Here is a 9,310-nt window from a genome sequence, read left to right on the forward strand (position 1 = left end):
AACAAAAATATCAAACTTAGCATCACCAATAATGGAACAAACTGACATCCTATGCCCTCTGATGTGATACTGGGAAGGACACCACATCAATTTAATAGCAGGATGAAGAAAGAATTATAATCTATTTTGCAACTGACAGCAACATAACAGCCCAAGAAATTTATCAGAGATGGAACAACCAGCTGATTTAATTTATCATGCTCATTTTGTTATGATGACACGTGTATGGAGTCTAATTCACAATTAAAAAGAGAAATAAGACCCTTTTACTAGTTAAATATCTGACTCCTTGACTGATAGGTTTAGTAAAACATTTAGATATTTCTGAATAAGCAGATGTTCTATATGGGAAATCAATCCAGGTGTGACTCAAATTTTCAGTTTTCCTGGATTCTTATTTTTTAAAATGTCTCTATATAATGAAGTTAGCAAGTTATGTGATTTTTGAAATTAGTTTTCTTTCTTACATAAAAGGGTAGAAATGTGTGGTTTTTGAATCATAAGCAATGGATGAGTGACATGATGCTTGCCAATTTGTCTAATCATCCCACACCATTTACATATTAACTTTTATAAAGATACTTGAAAAATAAATTGATGTAACAGGTATGTCTCTTTGTTTTTAAAACACACCAAGAGAGTCAACTATACTCATATGATGCATACTTATGATAGGAGGAAAGAAAACACCTGGTTTCAGAATAAGATCACAGAGGTGTTACATTCTTACCTCATCTACCTTTATATGCCTTGTTTCGTAGGTACTCTTATTTTAACAAAAAAGAAAAAAAAAAAAAAAAGAACCTCTGCTTTTCCCAGGCTGCCTCAGTACTTTGGCAAGTTAAATACAGAAGGAATTATTTTTCATGGTGAAAAGACTATACAGCCTCATGAACACCAGGGTTTATGATGGCCTTCAGCAACAGTACTGTGCTTGGCGCCTCTATAATTTTATTTGATCCAGGGAAAAACAGCTTAAGTTATATAATGGACATTCTCTTCAAATTTCCTTTCTTTGCAGGCTTGCACATGTATTGTTTTATGTACACCAATATCAGTCTTTGTGATTCAATGCTGCCAAAAATACTCTTTGATGAATGCTAATAAATAATATTACTCTGTAGTTTTTAAGGTTGGGAGTGGGAAAGAACAAAAGCCAAGTCTGAATAAATTATAGTCTACATTTGACATTGAAAATTGGACCAAATACACATGGCATCAAAACATGAAATCTGTCCAGTCAGAATATTTCCTTCTCCTCCTGTCCATGTTAATCAATGGGACCGCTTAATATAAGAGTCTTTATAGTGCATACCAGCAAATATGGGATCATATGTTACAACACAATAATCTATAGTTAATGGATTTGGAGGTTTTAGCAAAATTCCATGACATGTTGGAATGCATATTGTAGCTATGTTTCTTACACACGAAATGTGTAGCACATGCTCTTGGGATTCTGAAATATTCATCTATTCTGGCAATAGAACTCCATCAAGACTTTGCTGTTGATGAAAAAGGTAGAACTTTCTAGTGTCTATTTGTTATTAACTAATTATAAAAGTGATTATAAATTATTAGCCAAGGGAAAAATGACTCACAGATAATAACTAGTAACATGGTGAGTACTCATTTTGAGTATACCTTTCAAAATTGTCTGGCAATATATTTTTTTCATGATCAATTTCAGGTATTCTGTCAAATAATTTGAGGATCCCATGTATCAATGCTCAAGATCCATGAACATTTATCAAAGTGTAACATGGTAAGATTGAAAGAGACTTAACATACATAGGTTGGCAGTATAAATTTTCATCCAAAAAGGGGCACTTTTGAAAGCAAAAGAGAATGCTATCCAGAAAGGACACTGGGTGACTGCAACTATCCTGCAGAAGAATGGGACCTATGGCAACTCAATTAAAACAAAACTGAGGACATTAAAATAGGTCACTCTATCAGTGTCAGACCTGCGTCTCCAAAGACCTTTGCTTTATATTTTCCTATATGTCATGACATCAGCCCAAACTTAAAATGTCTAACATGACAATTATCTACAAATTTGGCTTCACCACTGGCTTGCCTATTTTTGCCAGTGTTAACATCATTCTCCCAACTACTCATTTCCATAGGAAAAAAAAAATCTAATTTGGCATTGTTAATTTTGCTCAATGTGATTGTAATTTGCACTGCATTTGTTAGGCAAACATTTATTTATACATATTATTTATATGGCAGATATTGTAGACATCTTCTAAGTCACATTTGATATTGTTAGATTTCATAATTTTCTAATCTAATTTATTTATAATCATCTCTTACGGTAGTTAAAATGGGCAATTGCCTGAATGCTACTGAAATTCGGTACATTTACCTACGTTTATTGGCCATTTGTGTTTCCTCTTCCGAGAAATACCTGTTCATATCTTTTATCAGGTTTAAAATTTGTTGTTTCTCTTATTCATATTTGCAGTTCTTTTTGTATTTTTATATTAATTATTTTCAGTTATATGTGTTATAAATATGATTAACCCTTTATTGCTTGTGTTTTCACTTTATTCCTGACTTCAACTGAACAGAAGCTCTTAAATTTAAAAATGTCAAACTTGTCAATATTTCTTTTTATGCTTATTATATATTTAGGTGTCGTGTTTAAAAGATTATTTTATAGCCTGAAATAATAGAAAAATTCATCTATGCATTCCACTTAAATTTTAAAATATATCTTTAACTCATCTGTAGTTAGTTTTCAATTTATAAGTGAATATATATTAGCATGGTGAAAGTTGAAATTTTTATAATATTGAGATATTCTTTTTCTTCATTTTTTTAATTATTATACTTTAAGTTTTAGGGTACATGTGCACATTGTGAAGGTTAGTTACATACGTATACATGTGCCATGCTGGTGCGCTGCACCCACTAACTAACTCGTCATCTAGCATTAGGTATATCTCCCAACGCTATCCCTCCCCCCTCCCCCCACCCCACAACAGTCCCCAGAGTGTGATATTCCCCTTCCTGTGTCCATGTGATCTCATTGTTCAATTCCCACCTATGAGTGAGAATATGCGGTGTCTATTAAGAGCATAAGCACCGGGAGATGGTTTAATGGTAACTGCCTTTTTTGATGTCAGGCTGGAGCTCCAACTAGGAACTTGCGTTACATGCAAGATTGATTGGATAGGGAACACTCCCTGACAAAGAGCTACATAATTAGAAATTCCATTACCTTGATATGTCTTTCTATGTATTTGTCTTTTTTAGTGCTTGGCAAAATATTTTATAAAATTCTTCGTACAAATTTTAGTGTATCTTTCATTAGATTTATTCCTAGAAATGCATAGGGTTTTGTTACTATTTCAAATTGTATTCTTTTAATTTTTTTTTGTTTATTGCTGTTGAATAAAAATGTCATAGATTTTTGTACGTTTATCTTAAAATATCTAGAATATATTACTACTAATAATTTCACTGTAAATTCACTTGGCTTGTGTATATAAACAATCATAGCATCTCTGTGTGGGCGTTTTTCTCTTAATACTTTGCCTGTACTTATTTATGTTTTTCCTTATTTTCTTTTTCCTGTGCTGTCTAGGGCATTTAGTATACAATTGAAAAAAGGTAGTGATAATGGGCAACTTTATTTTTTATTTTAGAGAAAATGCTTTGAATATTTTTGATTTAGAGTAGTGTTTACTGAGAGTCTTTTGGTAGATACCTCAATGGGTTACTTTGCTAGAAGATAGATGATAAATAGGTGTTGAATATTATCAAATACATTTTTCTGCTTCTTTTGGATTTATCATATGGTGATTATCATATATTTCTCCTCCTTTAATCTTTTTATGTGGTAAATTAACATTATGTATTTTCTAATGTTAATCCAACCTTTAAATCCTGGAATCAATTCAACTTGCTCATGATGGATAATCATTTTTATGCACTGTAGGATTTGGCTTGTGAGTATAAAGACTTTTGATCTATATTCACAGCAAGATTGGCCTGTAAATTGGTTTTCTCATGCTAGCATTGTCTGGATTCAGAATAAAGATTATATTGGCTTAATAGAAATGATTGTGAAGTATTCTCTCTTGTTTATTGCATATAATGGGAATTATCTGTTTGTTGAAATTGTGTAGAATTTGCCTGTAAAACCATCTAGACCTGGGTTTTTCCAACAAGGTCTTTTAAATTACTTCTCCTATTTCTTAACTAGTTGTAAAAACATTGATATGGGCTTTTTTTGTTTGTTTTTTTAATTTGGTTTTGGTAATTTTTAGTTTTCAACGTATTTGCTCATTTTATCTAAGTGTTCAGATTAACTGGAATACATTTACTAATGCTGCTTTTCACTGCATTGTACAACTTAGGTTCCCATTTTGTGATCCTACGATTGTTTATTTCTTCCTTCTCGTTTTTATTCATTAGTTTCGTAGTGTTTGCCTATTTTATTAGACTCTTCCGAGCACAAACTTTTGCTTTTTTTTATTTTCTATGTGGTTTTTTGTTTTCTTTTTAAAATTTCAAGTGTTACCTTTACTTTGTCTTACTTGTCCTTAATTTAACTTTATTTTGCAGTGTTTGTAGTTTCCTCACTTCTCTAGCATTATGTTAGCACACTTAGTTTTCAGGTTTACTTATCTTCAAATCCATATTTAATGCTATAAATTTCCATTTAATATCCCTTTTGCTAAATCCTCCAAGTTATAACATATAGAAATATCATAATAATTTATCACTAAGCATTTTTGTTAAGTGTATACCTAAGTATTTCTTGCTGTGATGCTATTGAAAATGATGTAATTTTCTATTTCATTTTCCAATTGTTCATGATTAGTATATACAAAAGCAGGTTTTTTTTGTTCATTGATCTCATATATTTGTATCTACATAGTTTTTATTTCTTTTTTGACCTCATTTTGTATCATAAGTTATTTGGAAGGATTTATTTACATTTCCAAATATATGGGTATTTTAAACTTTATATTTTTGTGTGCTCTAGTTTTGTGTGGGTTTTTTTCATTGTTGAGGATTGATAAATGGCTATTCTTTATAAATATTCCAAACATACTTGAGAAGAATGTATGATCTCTAACTGTTGCACACAACAGTGGTATTTTTCTATTTTATTTTCCAAGTGTTCACTACTAATATAGATAGATTGATAAGTAGATACAGATAAATGATAGACATATCTTAATGTTTCATCATGAAATATAATTGAATACATTTAATGAACTGGATTAAACACATTACTTATGCATATATCATATGTATACTCATATGCATATGTTTACAGTTGTGTTTATGTTAATCCACTCTAGGTCATTAAATATATTATTCAAATATTATTCTATGGCTCTATTTTTTTTTTGCCTAACCTATCAATGATTGAACAGATCTCCTGTAACCTCAAACCATGAAATTTTCACAATTTCTTCTTGTACTTAAATCAATTAATTCATATTTGACTTTATGAAGATAATATTCAAGTTTAAATTCATTTGTTTTCTCTGTGAATATCTTTAATAATTATATAGTGAGCCTCTCTATCCATCATAATGCTTTTTCCTTAAAGTCTATTTTAAATGATATTAATATGACTACATCAAGGTTTTGGGGGGACCATATTTGTGTTGTACAATTCAAATAATTTTACTTTTAACTCTTCTATGTATATATTCTCAATAGCATATATATATATAACATATAATAGCATATATACAAATGTATGTATACACACACACACATACACACACACACACCACACATATAGAGTATCCTACACTAAGACTTTACAATGGTGATTATGACCCACACTGTTTCTATTATTGTGGTAGCATCTTCTTCTATTAGTTGCTCTATTATTATATGCTTATTAACTTTAGTCTATTATCATAGTCTACTGTGGAAGGGTGTCATATATCTCCTTCTGGCAAGGCATTCAAATTTCAACCAACTAATCCATTACAAAGAAGTATGAAAGTCTATGTTTGTGTCATATGAAAGTTCTTTAAATGCAGACTATTTTATTAATTTTTATATCCCCAGAATCTAATATAATGCCTGTTTCATAGGAGTCATTTGTATGAATAAATGGGTTTTGAATGAATATAAATGAATAAAGGAGGTAAGAAAAGAAGGAAGGAAAGGGGCAAGGGAGGGAGGAGAGAAAAAAGCAAGGAAGAAAGGAAGGAAGGGAAAAGGGAGAGAGGGTAGGAAGAAACAATGTTCAAATTCCTCAAATAAAAGCCCTTATTTCATACAATATATAGATTACCTAGTAAAATGTGTAATACTGTAACACTGTATTTTCAAGGTAGTTGCTCAGATATAAGAGTTAAAAGTGAATAGATAGTATAATGACATCTTTATTGTGCATTCATTAGTTTTATTGAATGATGGTGGATATACCCCTTTGGACCTACCTCTGAATTACGTTAGTTAGAAGTAAGGTAAAGGTTTAATAAATGCAAATTTAAGTAAGATTTCAAAATAGTTGCATTAAAATGTACTATGTTATCTGTTTAGTGTATTAAATCTACATGGAATGATGATGTATTGTGGGAAAAGCAGTAAAATGTCAGGTTTTTTGAGTGAATTCATAACCCGTCATTATTATTCCTTTACTTGCCTTAATTATTCATTATACCCACAGCTAATAAATAACAGTTTATAAATTTGCTGATAAAAAAGACCAATTGGTTAGGATATAGCCCAGTTAGGATTACCTCTACTTAGTTTAATAATAAATATAATCTCAATTTAATATATGATTATAAAATTTCAAAGATATTCTGGAGATCCTACAATAATTGTTTCATGCATTTGTGTTTTACTAGATTTCCTGTGGCATATCTTTTAGGAACTGATGCCTATAAATCATATACAAGTGGACAGGGTGATGTGAACTCACAAAAATATTAGACAGTATTAATAACGCATTTAATTCATGTCTGTCAAACTAATATAGAATTTCACCACTCCATCACTGTCAAAAATCAATTTAACACATTTTGGATGGTGATAAAACCTTATCTATTAAGTCCTGGTCGATTCTGCTGATTATATGTTGGGGTGTGTCTTGTTTTGTCATCAGTATTAACCTTTGGTTTTTCTTGAATCTATGAGTTGACAGGTCTATTCATATAGCTGGGACCCACTTTACTTTAAAGATAAATGAAAGTTGTCAGTGGGCTAAGAAATTCTGGATCTTTAAAGCCTATATCAAAAGAGGCATGAAAAAAATAATACTAGTGTTTCTTTGGAGTCTATAGTTTTAGCTCTTATTCTAAATCATATGTAAGAATTGAAATCAGGATTTCCAAGAGATATCTGTATGCCCGTATTCATTGCAACATTACTCACAATGGCCAAGATAGGAAAACCACCCAAGTGTCCAAGGACTGATGAATGGGTAAATAAAATGTGGTACATATATAAACGGAATATGTCAGCCCTAAAAAAATTTGCCATTTGTGGCAACAAAGAGAGACCTGGAGGATATTATGATAAATTACATAAACCAATCATAGAAGGACAATATTGTATAATTCCACTTATATGAGGTATCTAAAATAGTCAAACTTATAGAAGCAGAGAGTATTGGAGTGGTTGTTAGAGGTTAGGGAATGGGGGAAGTGGAGAGTTTCTATTCAATGGGTATAAAGTGTCAGTTATGCTGGATGAAAAAATTTTAGAGTTCAGTACAGCATCGTGCCTATAGTTAACAATAGGGTATTGTGCACTTTCTTAACAGGGTAGATCTCATGCTAAATGTTCTTAACACAATAAACAAAGAAAAAAAACAAAGTGAATGTAAGAAAATTTTAAGAGGTGTTGGATATGTCTATTATCTTGATTGTGGTGATGGCACCCCGGGTGTTTGCATATGTCCTAACTCATCAAGTTGAACACATTAAACATAAGCAGTTTTTCGTATATCCACTCTACTTCAACAAAGCTGTTAAGGAATGAATGAATAAATAAGTGAATAAAAGGCATATTGAGGGCAGATACAATTCCTAGTGCAATGCCTTGTGTTTGATAAGCACTCAGTTACTACCATTCCAATTTTGATTCAGTTCACACATAATTTACCATTCTCTTATACTATTCTGTTCAATAATTTAAGAAACACTAGTACATATACCTTTAAAATAACATTTTAAATTTATTGCAGTTCCAGGAAATATAACCATAAATTTATAATCATTAGTCTTAAATACTTCTCAATATCTTTTTAAAATAGGAATTGCCATTAAAACACATAATAATGATTCCTGTGAAAACACTTACACGTTTGTAAACTGTTTTTCAGCACTTACTAATCTCATTTGTTTCTCATAGCAACTCTGCGAGTTTGGCTGTTGTCACCAAAAGTTTCTATATTTTTCTGAGGTAACAGATATTCAGAAGATTTACATAATGTGTCCAAAATCATACATACCTAATTAAGACAGGCTTTATGATTCAAAACCCATTATACCTTTCACTAAAATATGCTTATCATATTTCTCTCATAAACTTCAATAGTCTTAGAACAAACTATTCCTTATACTATTTGATCTGGCATACTCCAGTCAAAGTCTGCATGGTCCATTTTTCTTGAAAATTTCTGGAACCCATGCATTTATAGATAGATTTTTGTTGATTACATCTTGCATATTTATTACTAACAATAGGGGATTTTATTTTTCATGGCCCCATTATCTATGACAATTAAGAGTCAAATGCTTATAAAAATATTTATAAAGTATAATATATTTTTTAGGTTCTTTCTTCTTGTAAGACAAACCTGATAGTTTTTTTCACTAAAGTTGCAAATGTGAAAAAAAATACTGTTTTCTATTCTGTCTTTCTTTTCCAGCATTTGTCTTTACAGGCTTTTCTGGAGTTTTGTTTCTATAGAAGCACTTTGGATCATAATTTATGAGGTAGGTTGAATCAGATAACTATGTATGCCATTTATACTTTATCATACTCACATAGCTTTATGGGTGTGTACCTTAGAGGCAGAGAGGCAAATTTTTATTAACACATGTTTATACATAATTGACCAATTGGGAAGTGGTAAGAAGTAATGGCTGTGATTTACATAGACTAAGATATGTCTTAGAGCACCTCACCCTGTTTGGAGCCCCCACTGTGACAGATGAGCCCATGCCTTTGGGGGATGACAGCATGCTATTTATGGCATTTCCTTCTGAGACAATTAAGTAACATATGCCAGGACCATAGGGATTATCTTTGAGCTACACAGTATGTAACTCTATCTGAAGAGAAATATAATATTTTACAAATTTGACAA

This window comes from Homo sapiens, chromosome 2 (assembly GCF_000001405.40).
Source record: "Homo sapiens chromosome 2, GRCh38.p14 Primary Assembly".
Classification (NCBI taxonomy): domain Eukaryota; kingdom Metazoa; phylum Chordata; class Mammalia; order Primates; family Hominidae; genus Homo; species Homo sapiens.